Consider the following 16,161-nt stretch of genomic DNA (forward strand, 5'->3'; position numbering starts at 1 on the left):
TTTTTAATATTTTTCCATTTTCCTTAATTTTTTAATAATTTATTTTTTCTAAGCATTTTTCAAAAATTGTATATATTTAAAGTATGCAATGTAATTTTTCTATTTTATATATATATATATATATATATATATATATATATATATATATATATATATATAGTCATCCCTCAGTCTCTGCAGGCGATTTGTTCTAGGACCTCATGTATACCAAAACTTGCAAATGTTCAAGTCCCTTATTTAAAATCATTTAGTATTTGCATGTATCCTACACACATTCTCCCTTAGACTTTAAATCATTTTGAGATTACTTATAACACTCAATTCAAATAAATCTTATGTAAATAGTTGCTATACTGTCTCATTTTTTATTTATATTATTTTTATTGTATAGTTATTTTTAATTATTTTCAAATATTTTCCATCTGAAGTTGGTTGAACCTGTGTACCTGGAAGCTATGGATATGGAGGGCTGACTGTACATAATGAAAAGGTTACTACAGTCAAGTAAATTAATGTATATACCATCTCACATAGTTACTTTTGTGTGTGGTAAGAGCACCTAAAGTTAACTCTCTTAGCAACTTCCAGTATACAATACTATATTATTAACTGTAATCCTCATGCTATACATTAGATCTCTAGACTTACTCAACCTATATAGCTGCAACTTTGTACTCTTTGATTTACATTACCTAATACTCCCTGGCCCATCCCCCAGCCAAATCACAGTTCTACTTTCAGTTTCTTTCACTTTTTTAAAAAAAAAGAGTTCAAATATAAGTGAGATTATGTAGTATTTTTCTTTCTATGTTTGGTTTACATCACTTAGCATAATCTTCCTGATTCATCAATGTCACAAAAGGTAGGATTTTTTTATTTTTCAAGGTTGAATAATATTTCAGTGTGTATATATATCACAATTTCTTTATTCAAATTTCTGTCAATAGACACTTAGGTTGTATTCATATCTGACTATTGTGATTAATACCGCAGTGAACATGGCGAGGCCAGATACCTTGAGGAACTGCAGATTTCATCTTTTTGGGGTATGTATGTACCTAGAAGAGGAATTGATGCATCATAGGAACTTCTATTTTTAATTTTTTAAGGAACCTCCATACTGTTTTCCATAATGGTTGCATCAATTTGGATTTCCACCAACAGCATATGAAAGTTTTCTTTTCTCCACACCCTCCTTAACAATTGTTATCTCCTGTCTTTTTCATAAGAGCCATACTACTAGATGTGAGGTAATATTTCATAGCGGTTTTGATTCACATTTTCATAATGAGTCATGATGATGAGCATTTTTTCATACACATGTTGGTCATTTTTATGTCTTCAAAGAAATGCTTGTTCACATTCTTTACACATTTTGAAATTGGGAGATATATATATGTGTGTGTGTGTATATATATATATATAATATAGCCATTGAGTTTTGTGTGTGTGTGTGTATATATAATGTATGGCTATTGAGTTGTATGTGTGTGTGTGTGTATATATATATATATATATATATATATATATATATATATATATAGCTATGTTTGTTTGTAGGTTGGTACCATTCAGCAATGGAATATACTTTCATTCTAATATATGGAATTTTTTTGGTTAATTACCAAAAATTTTGAATCATTTTCTATTTTAATTTTGATGCTTCCCCAATTATTTTATTATCTTCTTCAAGAACTTCCATTAAATATAATTTAGAATTACCCAATCTGCTTTTCAGATTTTTCATTTCATATGTACTTTCTCAATTATAACTTTTGATTCACTAATTATCTCTTTCTCTGTTTTCAGCGGACATTTGTTTTCATTTTACTAACTACATTTTTCCATTTCCACAATTTTTTTATTTTTGTCTCCATCTTCTTTTCTGATTTTTTTTTTTTTTTGACAGAGACTCACTCTGTCGCCCACCTTGGAGTGCAGTGGCGCGATTTCAGCTCACTGCAACCTCCACCTTTCGGGTTCAAGTCATTCTCCTGCCTCAGCCTCCCGAGTAGCTGGGACTACAGGTGCATCCTACCACGTCCGGCTAATTTTTTTGTATTTTTAGTAGAGACAGGGTTTCACTGTGTCAGCCAGGATGGTCTCGATCTCCTGACCTCGTGATCCACCGGCATTGGCCTCCCAAAGTCCTGGGAATATAAGCATGAGCCACCACGTCCAGCCTTAGTTTTGTTTTATAGATGCTTTTTTTTTTTCATATTCACTCTGAGCATTAAAAATACACTTATGTTAACATCTTTGGTGTACTCTGATATTTCCAGTTCAACATTATTAATTGATAACAAGTAAGTTTGTTTAGTTTTATTAGTTCTTCTCATAGCCTGTATTTCTTTCCATATATTGTCATTTTGTTCTGAGGGCCTACAATTCATATGATTTTTTTCTTATGCTTTCCTTTCTGTACACTCATTTCAACTCTCAGGCATTTTTACAGTTATCTCACACCTCAACTCCTTCTTAAGGATCATGACTCAGAGGCAGTATTGCTTGTGGACACCTACAAGAGGACTGCATAATAATCTTCAACAGTGCAGAACATGCACCAGGCTTCTGCACAATAAATTAGTTTTCTTCTCTTTCATTCCCAAAGGCAAATCCTGAATCATAGTCCCCCAAAATGAAGATATTCAGAAAATCTCTTGCCTGCTTTCACATGTGGCCAGAGATAGTACCAGTCCTAGACTTCCCCTAGGGGGCTTTTGCCTCCATTCTCTCACTATATGTGGGGCCTGTTTCATCCTGTTTTCCTGCCAGGATTGAAGTTCCAGCCCGTTTTATCTTCTTCTCATAGTATTCAGAGATTTCTGCCTTCAGCTCCCACTTACTTATGTGAGTTTGTCCTCTGACCCATAACAATCAGTTCTGTGAGATATAGAAGATGCTGGAACCCTTGAAAGTCACATGTTGCAGATGCCAGAGGCTATAGCAGTGAGAGTCTCTGAATTACTCTGTAAAGACTTGCCTCGTGGACCTGTTTATTGGCTCACTATTGTTAAATACACAAGAGGCAGACTGCTCTTAGGTTGAACCTTTACGTATTTGAGATATTGTTATCAGATGCTAGCTTATCTTGATAAATGAACTGTTTAACCTGAAAGTTGTGTGTCTTTTGGCAACTTCAACCTTTTATTAGGTACTAAATTTTTTGTTTGATTATGGTATTTAAAAGATGATTTTTAAAAATGTTTTTGAGGAGTTCTCAGTAGTCATTTCTCTGTTGAAGGCTACCCCAAACAAAATCCATCTGCATATGAAAATGTACAAATATCTCCTGTATAATACTGTTAAACAGCCCCCAAATTAATTTAAAGTTAGATCAGTATCATTAATGTTAATTAATTTTACTCTCCAAAAAGAATAAGCTTGTCTTTGCCCCCACACAATCTGAAAATATTTATCCACTGTAGGAACTGTGAAAGAACTTTTACTATTGTTGCCATCCACAGGGAGGTCATAAATTCTTGTCATTCATCTCTAAATAGAAGCATTCCTAAATTAGATGACATTTAGTAACATGTTATAAAAGCCTCAGAAGGTTTTTTTCTAGTACTATTCTAGGTGACCTTATATGTCTGTTTTGTTTTTGTTTTATGTTGCTCGTTTGCCTTACAAATAGTCTTTGAAGATTTTGTCTTAAAAGTTGGTGCCTTTATAGTGATATGGGTGTGTTATTTGAAGCATGTCATCCATGCCATATTTCACATTTATTTGTGAACATTTGTAATTTATTGCCGGAGATTAGTTTTTGTTTTTGTTTTCTTTAACACACCGTATTCCTTTTGAAACTTAAAAAATTCAGAACTTAAAACACAACTTCTTTTATCTGAACCTTTAGAAAACTCTATAACTCAATTACAAGGGATATTTTGTCTGTTGGACATTGTTCTTTTTTACTTTACTATTGTAACTTCTAAGATAATATGACTATTACTTGTTGCATTTATTTTACTTTATTACCACTAATTTTTTTTGTCTTTTTGTTCAGGATTAAGTCCAATTTATGATTGTTCATTTTTGCTTCTTCTAAATTTTGAGTTACCAACTACCATTTATTCAATTTTGTAGTGTTGGCAAACCTTGTTTTTAGCTTGTTGAAACTACCACAGAACATGTAGATATTTAAAACCTCTCATTTTGTTCAAAGAACATATAATTACATATATATTTTTTAACTGTGGCAGAAAAGCATGCACTTTGTCTAGCCAAGCAGTCAGTACACAATAATGTTCTATAGCTCACATCTTTTTCCTTTTGTCCTTTTTAATAACTTACAGAATGCTTTATGCTTGTGAATTTTCATATTAATACTCTTTGTGCAGGTTTGTGTGTGCTTATGCCCTTACCCAAATACTGGATGAATTATTCTTTAGAGAACATTCACGTGTCTGTATCTTTCTGTTATGAATTCCATATACTAGAACCATTTGCAAGACACCAGGGTGAATTGACCCATTAGCTTTGGCACCAACCCTTGACTAATTATGAGCATTAAATAAGTTACTGATCCTCTCTAAGCTACTATGTGGGTAAATATATATATATTACATATATATAAATAAGTATATATCATATATAAGTATATATGATATATACATATTCACATATTAAATAAATATATACACATACCCACATATATAGTGAATATGTTTATATCAATAAATTATAGAAATGTGTAAAGTGTGTAGGATGCCATATTACTTTTTATGACATAAAATATTAATATTTTTATTTTCTATGAAGCTGTTAAAATTTCTATACACAGAAATATAGACATCTGAACTACAGAATATTTTATTTTTTCTGTTATTTTCACCCAAAATCACTGAGCAAAATCATCATTTCTCCCCACTTGCATTTCTGATTTTATCTGGGTACACTTCTATCTGGATACACTTTTCTACCTTCCTCAGCTTAAAATACTGTTGATTAGAAACCAACTTGTAGCCAATAATTTCTCTTTCTGATTTTTTCATAAACGCTCCAGTTCTTACCTAGGGCCAATTGCTTTCAGAGTATTACACTCTATCTTTTTTATTCTCACCTAAATACTTTTGTGTACACTTTAACCTATTTTCTCCGTATTTTTCAGTACTAGAGATAGTGCATGAGTAGTAATAAAGTGATCTGTAATCTGTTTATATAGATTTATTCAACTTCTCCTGAGATTTTTTTCTTTGCACCACAAAAGTAAATAGGTAAATAAAATGACAACAAATTCATGCCCCTCGGTTTTTTTAAATATAGAACTTATAGTTTTTTATTACATTTCCAGCGTTTTAAAAATTCTTTAAAATTAAAAAAAAATTCTTTTGTAGTATGGACCCCAGGCCTGTATAATATACTCATAAATGTTGATCAATTTTAACCATAGATGGTAGATTACTTTATATTACTTATATTTTGCACTCTTCCTCACACAGTACAGAACCCGGTTTCTTCCTAACTATGAAGAAATCATTCATCAAAGTCAAAGCAAGAAGAATTTGTTATTGCACCCTCAATAAAATGTACAATGACAAGTTTTATAGTCACTGAAAGTGGTAATATCTTATGAATCATATATATTTAAATACAAGTAAAATATATTGTACAATTTAAAACTCTACAATAAATTGTGGTTGGGAATGACCATTCTCTCCCTAAGAAGCTTTACCTGCATCTACCCATTGTGAGCTAAGACAGGGAGGTAGACTCCAGCTTCATACTGGAGATATATTTTTTTTAATAAATAAAGTTTTCAAGTCAGGAAATTGGGATGCTTATGCAATATCAACACAGACTCAGAATCTATTAAGGACATATTACAGTGGATTTTTTATTGGTTAAGAGAAAGGTGTGTCAGAATCTCCAAAATATCTTTTCTCTTTAGCTTTATGGCAATTGTAGTATTCTAATCTGTATTCCTGTAGTTTTTGTACTTGTCTCATCATTTCTCCCATAGATGCATGTCTTTATGCAGAAAAAGGGTGAGGGGGTGGGAATCCAAATATCTTTAAATTTTTCCTGATATCTAACAGGATAGCTTACGGATATTGACCATCTAATATATTTTTCTCAAATGCCTTATCTATATAATTAAGAATAAGATAAGTTAAAAGCAGTATTTTAAAAATTTAAAATAATCTAATGAGAGTATAAAAAGATTGGAAAGTATAAAATAAAAATTGACTAAAGAATAATAAAACCAAACATATACACATATATATAAAATTAAAATAAGGCAAACATCAACTACACAGATAAAAGATTATTGGACAGATATTAGTCCCCAAGCATAGTGGCCAAACTTACTGGTATATTTCAGAATAAATTAAAATTGTGGATCATAATGCTTTGAAATTATTGAGAAATCTATGTTTACCTGTTTGCAGTGCTTTCTGACATTAAACATTTCATAAATTTTGGGTGCCGATACATTTCTCAGTTTTTCAGAGAATTATGTAGATTATTTTTTTCGAAATTTTAGATGTTTTTATGAAAGCAGGGCTGTCTACTGACCTTAAAAATGTTTTGACCTCTAAATACTGTCAGCAATGACATTTATAGAATAAAATATCTTACATAATAGAAAAAATATGATGTTTTGATTAATTTCTTCTATTATTCTACTTCAAAAACAATTACTTTTGCATGATTTTATATAATTTTTCCTCTCTAGTGAAATGTGAGTGTATGTGTTTTTTAAAGTTTTCTCCAGAAGCAATGTTTCTCCTCTACATGAAGAAAATTGAAATGTTTCAACTATTTCATCTCTTATGTTTCAAAATAGTAATTAATTTTAATATTCCAAAGAATTCAGACATTTCTAGTACTGTGCTATATACAGTTGTACAACATAGCATTTCTATTCTGCTTAACAGTTTGCAAAATGTCTTCACATATAGAATTTCTACAGAGGCATCATTTTCAAATACAGAAAATGTTCAGAGAATATCATTTTTGATGATGATATGGGGGTGACTATTCTGGTATCACTTGAAGAAGCAGTACTTTGCGAAAAAGGAAGTAACTGATTATAGGAGGTCAAAATGCCCTGATGCTCATATCTATGGAAAACATGATTTCTCCTCTGAATTTATGACAAAGTTTATGACGATTTTCCCCTTCCTTATAAGCCCTCAGATTGATCTTTGTAATTGCTTTTCAAAATTTAATTTACATTATTAAACTTCACTTCACTTATTTAAAAATAGATATTTAAATCTCTTATTTGTTTAAAAAGTCTGAAATATATTGTAAACAAAATATGTACAGAAAATATGCCACCATTGGGAGGCACAAGTGAGAGTTTGGGAAAATGTAAGGTTATTTTTCCACCTCTGGAGGTGTCCTTGACAATAGCAACAGTTGAATAGGGTAACCAAAGTTGATTGCAGGTGGCTGCAGACTCCAACAATATTAGCAGTAATTGGAGCAGCAGCAGCAGCAGCAGCAGCAGCAGCAGCAGCAGCAGCAGCAGGAAAACAGGATCCTGGATTCCCGCTCAGTAGCTGTGGTGTGAAACAACTGCAGCCATGACAGCCTTATATAATCTCCAGCAACTTAAGCAGGACTTGTGGCATGTTCGGGGTATATCACAGCTTCCTGAGTTTGATATAACTGCTTACTTTCCCTATTCCACCTTTGGTTTGTCCCTGCAGATAACACCAATATGGCCAATTATCTTCCTGCATGAAATATCCAAAGTGGTGTCTCATACTGACCTGAGCAAACATCAACTGATACGTGTGCTAATAGAAGTGGCACCAGGAAACAGACCTTTCAATTGTTAATCTGAGAATGGTTATTTGACCTGATTATAAATGTTGATCTCATCACATTTGGAAAATGAGACTCAGGTAATCCATGGCATGCAAAGGCAGATGGCTATTTAAACTACTACCTGTTGCCTAGGATGAAATTATTAGAAAGGGTACAGTTCACTTGACTGTTATGGCAGTAATGGCTATAAGGATTATGGAATGTGTTGACTACTGACCTATACCGGACAGTTCACTAAAAAATAATACCATGAGGTCAGGTTGTTACACTTTCAGATTAAAGCCTGATCAGAGAACAAATTAGTTAAATAAGACAAAAATGCAATCCTGCAACACAGATAGAATACAGAGCCTCATTTAGTGACTTATGTGAAATACTATTTGGTAAGAACTGGGATCTTGAATATGGCAGCTTCCTGAGTTTGATGTAACTGCCTCTTTTCTTTTTTCCACCTTTGGTTTAGTTATTTCCACCTGCAGATAACACTGTTATGGCCAATTATCTTTCTACTTGAAATACCAAATGTGGTGTCTCATATTGCCAAATTGAAGACACTTGGATAGATTTCAATGAGTCTAAGAACCTTTCAAACTTCAAGCCACTTTTTGTTTGTTTATCAAGAGAAGATCCTCTACCCTTCAGAACATACTAGCTATTTATTGCTTAAAATTTCTATAAAAATCTTATTTTAAGTAGTTGCCTTATAAGGTTTATTCATTCTCCATTTCCACATCCTACTTACCCTTATTCTTCAGAACCATAACTAGAGCAAATCTACAAATACTCTGGAGAACCAACACAAAGAATGAATGGAGAGAAAAGAACTTATGCACTAAAGGATTTACAAACCTTTGCTAGTTTCTGTGAAAAGAAATCTAGATATTATTTGTGGGGATGGATTTTTTTTAAGAGTGCGAGATCAACAAGGATAGAACATAATATTAGATCAAGCAAAATTTTTCTCTACAGGTGCATGGAACAATTTCTGATTCAATCAGTTTTTGATTCAAAATGTTAACTCAAGCAGCCTGGCTTTAACACTTTTCTGGGTTTGATGGCTGAAAGCTGGTCTCAACAGTGGCCTACATTAAATGGATTTGATTGACAAAATTCCCCTGCTATACTGCAGAAGAAGAAATCCGGATCTTTAGAGATAGCTGTTTGGTGTATTTTGAGTTATGAATGATATGTCCCATGTGAAGATTTAAAGAATGCTACCTTTAAATGTCTTTTTAAATGTCTATAAAATGTGCTGATAAGGAGGGCTTCAACATCCTTACAAAGTTCTTTGGTGTCTGTTCTTCATAGGCCTGGGAGGATGATGGCAGTGGCTGTCATTGACCTTCAGCTTTCTTATTTCAATGGGTTTAATTCTAATCCTGAGGTGGCAGATGCAGTGACTGAGTGGACATAGGATGAGACTGACAATTACAATATTTTTATCTGCAGGGATAATTATTAACAGGTAATTAACTATGGTGTTCTCAATGGAGAGTCTATTATTGTATTTTTTGCATATATAATCAGAAAAACTGTACATCTGGTAAGCAGAACACCCCTAAGTTACCACATTGGAAAATGAGCCAGAACTGAGCCAGTTAACATTTTAATGATGACCATATAATGAGGAGATCTTGTAATGATGTTAAAATATGGTATTTGATCTTTATAGCATATTAAAGCAGGACTACAATTATCACAGAAAAAGAAATTACTTCATTTGGAGAAGAATATAGTAACTGATATGACCTCATGTACCTCTTTTTGGGAAAATGTGTACATCTTCATTTTTAAGTGTGAAAATTGCATAGTTTGAGGTCTAAGCACGGTATTGTTGAGACAATTGTTGTAGGAAAGTTTCAACATAGATAGAAGGATTTACATGGCTATGGAGTAGCCAGAGGAAGGTTTCTACAGAAAGTTTCTATTGCCTTTCACCTCCATATTCACCCACCTATATTTTTTCTATATTGTTTATTAACACAAAGTTGAGTATGTGTGTGTGTGCATGTGTGTATGCATGCCTAATACTAGATAATTTAATAATGAAAATAAATCATCATAGCACCCACGCCAAAGAATGGAGTCGATAATTTTTTTGGACTCCCTGTTTATTTACTGATGAACACAGTTCCTACATTTTACTTTTAAAATATGAGCATTATATGAATATTCCTGAAAACTTCTTGTATTATTTAATACAATAATATTCAAAACAGCATTTAAATCTTCTTGGGAGCATCTGGAAATGTTTTGATAACAAATATTTAACTGGAAAGGATGATAAGCTGTTTAGGAGGTAGACATGTGGAGAGGGAACAGAGAAGGATTCACTACAGGCAAATGCAGAGAGACAATCTAAGTAACTAGGCATGAGGAAATCTCTGTATTCACATTATACTTAGCATTTGCACAATTGTATGACCAGTACACCTTTGTATCAGTGAGCACCCATGCCAAAGAATGGAGTCGATGTTTTTTTCTGCTTCCCTGTTCATTTACTGATGAACACAGTTTCTACATTTTATTTTTAAGACATATGCATCATTTGGACAATCCTGAAAACTTCTTATTGATGAAACAAGAACTAAGATGACTTTGGTATGCAATAATAAACCTTTCTAATAAGCTTTGTTTCCTTTCTGATTTCAGCTTTTGAAGTCCACCATTTCTCCGCATCTGAAAATCAAAGTACTTTTTCTGTTACATTTTAATCTGACATGAATGAGCAACTTCCTGCTGTTTTAGGACAGGTCCTCAATAGTACTTTTAAAGCCTTAGGAGCTTTCAATATCATCAGCCAATTAGGCATTCACAAGACTTTTGCTACATATGACAAGTTTAGAAATATTCCTTTTTTTTTTAAGTTTCTAGAGATGTAGAGAACTTTCTGACTTTCTAATTGCATGACCATAGATTATGACTCTTTCCATAATATGAAATGCATCCTGCAGTGCTTGTTCTAAACTATACCTCAATAGTTATTAGTGATGATAACCAGAAAGATTGACAGTTATTTATTGTTTCTTACCATTATACTCCCCACGGAAGGAGAGAGATTTCATACATACTATTTAGACATTATTTAATAAGAGACTTATAAGTCAAAGAAATTTAATTGCACATTGTCACTGTCAGTCTTCCTACAAATAAAATACTGTATTGAGTTCACTAATATACAAATGGTGGTGGTGGTGGTGGTGGTGGTGGTAGGATAATCTCAAGCAGCCTGATTTCTCATTTGCATTTCTACATAAGTAAAAAAATTCAGTTAATTTAAAAAATTAAAATGTAGCATGTGATATTTATTACCACTTTTTTGCATTCATAATCTATGTAAACATGTGAATGAAAATACCTATGTGTAATGGGAAAGAATCTTCAATTGTCAAATGCTTATCAAATACCCAGGAGCCAACGAACACTTCCTAAAGTCTAACTGAGGGTGTCCAAATGCAATTCCATTAAAGACTGCTCAGTCATCATTCTCCCAAGCCAAGTTCAAAAGGCCAAAGTCAGTTTTTTAAAAAAGAATTTTTAAATTATTGCATATGCCCTTTCAAGTCAGTGTAAAACAATCACCTTGTCCACTCATCGGGTAATTGCGTTCAATGTCTACGGAGGACACTAAGCACCAGTAGTTCCAACTGATACATAGACAAGTTTGCTGCTGTTGAATAATGTTCTTATTTTGTATGTGTCAAGGCCAAAATAGCATGCTTACTTTACACATCTAGCAAGGCTACAGTTTGTTTTCATTTTAAAGAAGAGTTACCAAATTGAAGTCCTTCTCTATAATAAAACTGTTAAAACAAATTGACAGTCAATATTCCCAAACTTTAACTTGATTAATCCTGCTCTTGGCAATTGCACTATTGCATTATGTGTTATATCTTTGATTATCCAATGAAGGAATAAGAGTAGAATATTTCCTTAAGTGAATTTCTGTTTCATATGGAATGTGGCAACATATTGGTGCTATTTAGAGATTACATATCCAACATACAATATATATTATTGTTATTTGTCATGCTTAAAAACAGAATAAATATAAACATCCTCATGTTTATATATCTCTAATTTTAGAAGGTATAAATAAATGACTTAATTGTCTCATGAAGGATTAGAAAATCTTTAATTTTAAAAATCACTAATGAAACTAATTACACTGCAGGTAATAGTAAGTAATTTTTAATTATAATAGCAAGAAGAATGACGTAAAAGATCCAATTGTCTTAAGTGATCAGAATAACTAATTTTTTTAATGACCATTTCATGAACAAAGTCATACTACAGTTAATTAATAATAATTTATGATGATAAGGAGGAGATAAAAATATAAGTAATCTCAAGATGCTTCTTTCTACAGTGACATACTTACATAACTGTGTTCATAAAAATTAACAATAATATATAATGCCTTGTGAATGAAGTACTCTGTTGTAACAATATATTATTAATTTTATATGCCATTTCCTGCTTTGATAAATATAGTATTTATTCAACTCAATAAATTACTACCAATACAGAAAAACCAAATGTTGCACAAAGCCTAAGGCTATTGTATCAATATAAATATATTCAACTTTAAGGCAATGATTCTGACAGATTAGAGGACTAAATTCATATAATAGAATGTCATGATTTAAACAAAATGTGATCCACCAGAGGTAAAATTATAACCTACCTATTATTCCTAGAAATTTAAAGCAATATTTTTGTGAGAGTTAAATAATTTTCAGGGTGATTTTTGTATACATATTTTTATTATAATATTGACCTAATGGGAAACAAAACTGCTTTTCACTAGCAGGGCCAGATGTGCAGGATGATTAGTTATACTTACACTCCATTTGCCTTCAAATTATGTATCTTTGAAAAATAGGACATGTACATAGGTTGATTTTCATTTATTTTTGTTATCCTTTATTTAATGATTTGTATTCTCCGTTGATATATGATTGTATTACTTAAATCCTCTGAAATGTTTTTAAACTAATCAGAGTATGTTCAAAAAGGAGAAGAAAATGAACTTTAAGTACTTGAATTAAGCAGCAGCATCGTGTCTATTTATTTTGTTATGTCACCCGGGCTCTTCCTTGTTGAACAAGGTAATACAATGGTGCATACAAAGATAGCCACAAAGTAGCTTACTTTAGATATGCTTCTTGATTGACTGTTAAGATATTCAAAGAAAGCAAAAACATCTTACAATTATATATCTATAAATGCATAAGTATGTGTATAGAGGACTAATATGTATCGTGCATATACATAATTGTATATCATTGTCAGTATGTGTTTGTACACTGACAATTCGTAGTACCTCAAATTATTTTTAGCATATTCTGTTGTATACAAATTTACACTTAATAAAGGGAGAATTTTAAGTTAAAGGGGAAAGATGAGGCTAAATCAAAAGGTAAACAAAGACTTAAAAATGCTAAGCCAGTGGTAGTCTATTCTGAAAATACGGACACGGTGATTGTGAAGGGTGCCAGGTCAAGGTGTTCATCCCAGTTTTTCACGGATAGAATTAAGCTGTGTATATGGGAAATGGAAATGAAGAATAGGATTTGTGTGCACAGCTCATTTTTCCTCCTAGTAGAGCGAACTAATGAATATTAAGAAAATATTAAGAAGTATTTTTCTTTTTAAAGTGTTTACCCTGTGTTTCTCTGTCTTTGGGAAGTCAGTCACACTAGGGGTGAGAGTTCACAGTGAATGTCTAATCCAGACTTTGGCTAATTATAAGATGATTCCATAGTTGTAATCATCTCCAAAAAGTTTAGACATGTTCTGGCCTTTGGGTTTCAATTATATAAGTATGTCCCATTCTGCGTCCATATGCACATCTAAATGTCAATTGCATGGTAACGGAGTTTAAAAAAAATCTCAAACCATGTTTCTGCTGGGTCTGGTTACAGCAGTTCCATAATGAGCACCTTTGAGCACTTTTATTCCACTTCACAGTGTGTAAATTCATAAATGCTTGGCCTTGTATCTTTTCTGTGTTGTCAGCATTCTCATCATTTTGGGAGACAAATTGATATCTCCCTTAGAAATGACCAAATTGAGTGCCATCTGTTACAATGAAGGGCTACTTCAAGGAGAACTTTTATTGAATGTGAGTTGGAATTTTCATTGTAGCAGCAAAATTGAGAAGCATTTCTAGTGGACCCGAGGGGTGGTGTTTTTCTTTCTAAAATCATTGTTCTCAATTTTTACAGGCTCTGCCCTCAAAAACCATCACTGACATGCAGCAGAATTTTTTTTTTTTTTGGCAAGTTATATAAGCAGAAAGTGATTGTAAATCAAACTAGAAGAAAGTATAACAGATATTCCTGGAAACCAAAGAATATTTTAATCATCAAATAATGAAACAGAGGCATCTAGAGTAAAGCCCTATTGGAAATAATTAATAGCACGTGGGCAATGATTTTTTAAATGCTTTTTTATTTATTTCATTGACATTAGTTCTTATATTTGACATCTTCTGTGTGACTAATTCTACAGTAGATTATCATCCTTTAAAATGCAAATAATTTTTAAGTAAGCTAACAGTATAATAAGATGTACACTAACAATCCTTAATTAATAAACATAATCTTAAAAGTTTCATTTAAACTTGTTAAACATTTAAAATAAACACTGTCTAGCACCTTTTCCTGCTACATATGGAGAATCCTATATGTAACTTTACTTTTAAAAATTATTTATATCTGAAAGAGAAAAGTAGTATACTAATCAGTTTTTCTAGTAAGTATATATGAACTACTTTCAAAGAAATAAACAAGAACAGAGTTCTATAAGCACATTACAGATCCTGCTTCTTCAAAACTTACTCTGTAGGATCTTAATGTTAGTAGTATTTGACTAGCTATGACGTGTGGGTATATATCCAATGTTTTATATATATATATATATATATATATATATATATATATGGAAATAAATAAATGTTTATTGCAAATAAATAAGTAAATAAATATATATTTTCTAGGGTAACACTGGGCTTTCAGAGGGCGTAAGGAACAAGTATTCAGGGAGGGCCAGAAAAACTGAAGAAAATTGGAGGCAGTAATATGTTTGCTACAGAAAGTTTGAGGTTTTCCAGATGGAAGGCTGAGGTGCTCAAAGACAAAACATGTCAGAAGGAAACATTCCTGCTGGCCTATTCCTGCAAATCCCAGAAGGTGCATTAACATAGGAAGAAGGCAAGCCCCACATTATTAATAAGCTTACCAACAGATTTCAATTGATTTCCTTTAGGTTATCTGGCTTCTTTTGTATTCCATTCTCTCCCTTGTGTTTAGTTTCACTGGTTTTTAATCAGATTACTTTAAAATGTTCTGAACCCAGGTTAGAATTTAGCATGCAAACAATGGAAAAGAGAAAGAGAGTTTTCTGTGTAGGGTAAGTCAAATAACTCACCACAATTAAGATGATGAGGACTCCTGAAGGGCAGAGAGAAGAGGGGAGACTCATGCACTTGACACAAAAAAAGCTGAATAGCCAGAAGAGTTCGTCAGAGGGAGGCTCTGGGGATGAAAGGTTGGCAATGACTCCCTTAGGAATTGCACTCTGAAAACCCAAAGTTCAATACAAGCTACTTTCATTAGTATAAGTGTTTCTGCACAAATAACCTGTCGTTACATTTCAGTTCAATCTTAGAAATTGGAAGGGCAAAAGACCTCTTAGGTCATAGTGCTTGTCACTCCAGTGCAAAATATAAACAATGTCTCTCACAGATAAGAATGCATAACTTAACATAGATGTGGAAAATATGGAACTACTTTTTCTTTAAAAATCTTTAAAAAGTAAAATGTTCTGTTTTTATTTTTTAAAAAAATTGAGTTATTTGGGCACAGAACTCTTCCACAAAGTCTGTGACTGAACAAGTGTTTGAGTGCTTTAGGACCACATAGTAGGAATGGTAAATGGCAGGATAAGGCAAGGTCTCACAGAAAAGAGACTTACTTACTTTTTAACTTTGATAAAGATACGTAAGCTTTTTCTGCCAGGGTTGCCACTAAAAATAGCAGTAAGGGTCGGGGGCAGTGGTTCATCTCTGTCATGCCAGCACTTTGGGAGGCCGAGGGGAAGGATTGCTTGAGTGCATGAATTCAGGACCAGCCTAGGCAACATGGCAAGATCATGTGTCTACAAAAAATAAATTTTAAGAATTTAGCAGGGCATGGTGGCACAAACCCTGTCCAAGCTACTCGGAAGGCTGAGGCAGGAGGTTTACTTGAGCCCAGGAGACAGAGGTTGCAGTGAGCCATGTTTGCACTCTAACCTGGGCAACAAAATGAGACCCTGTCTCAACAACAACAACAAAATAGTAGGATGCTATTTCGGATCGTTGCCATGATCCAT

The 16,161-nt window shown here is 32.7% G+C and overlaps 1 long non-coding RNA gene across 1 annotated transcript; it reads left to right on the forward strand.

Annotated features, from left to right (window-relative positions):
- Positions 1 to 511: 511 nt before the first annotated feature.
- LOC105370250 (uncharacterized) lies at positions 512 to 10,920 on the forward strand. Its single transcript, XR_942048.1, has 4 exons — positions 512 to 1,046; positions 7,662 to 7,859; positions 9,091 to 9,247; positions 10,435 to 10,920. It is a non-coding gene; the product is annotated as an uncharacterized LOC105370250 (long non-coding RNA).
- The last annotated feature ends 5,241 nt before the right edge of the window (positions 10,921 to 16,161 follow it).

Source organism: Homo sapiens, chromosome 13, assembly GCF_000001405.40.
Source record: "Homo sapiens chromosome 13, GRCh38.p14 Primary Assembly".
NCBI classification, from domain to species: domain Eukaryota; kingdom Metazoa; phylum Chordata; class Mammalia; order Primates; family Hominidae; genus Homo; species Homo sapiens.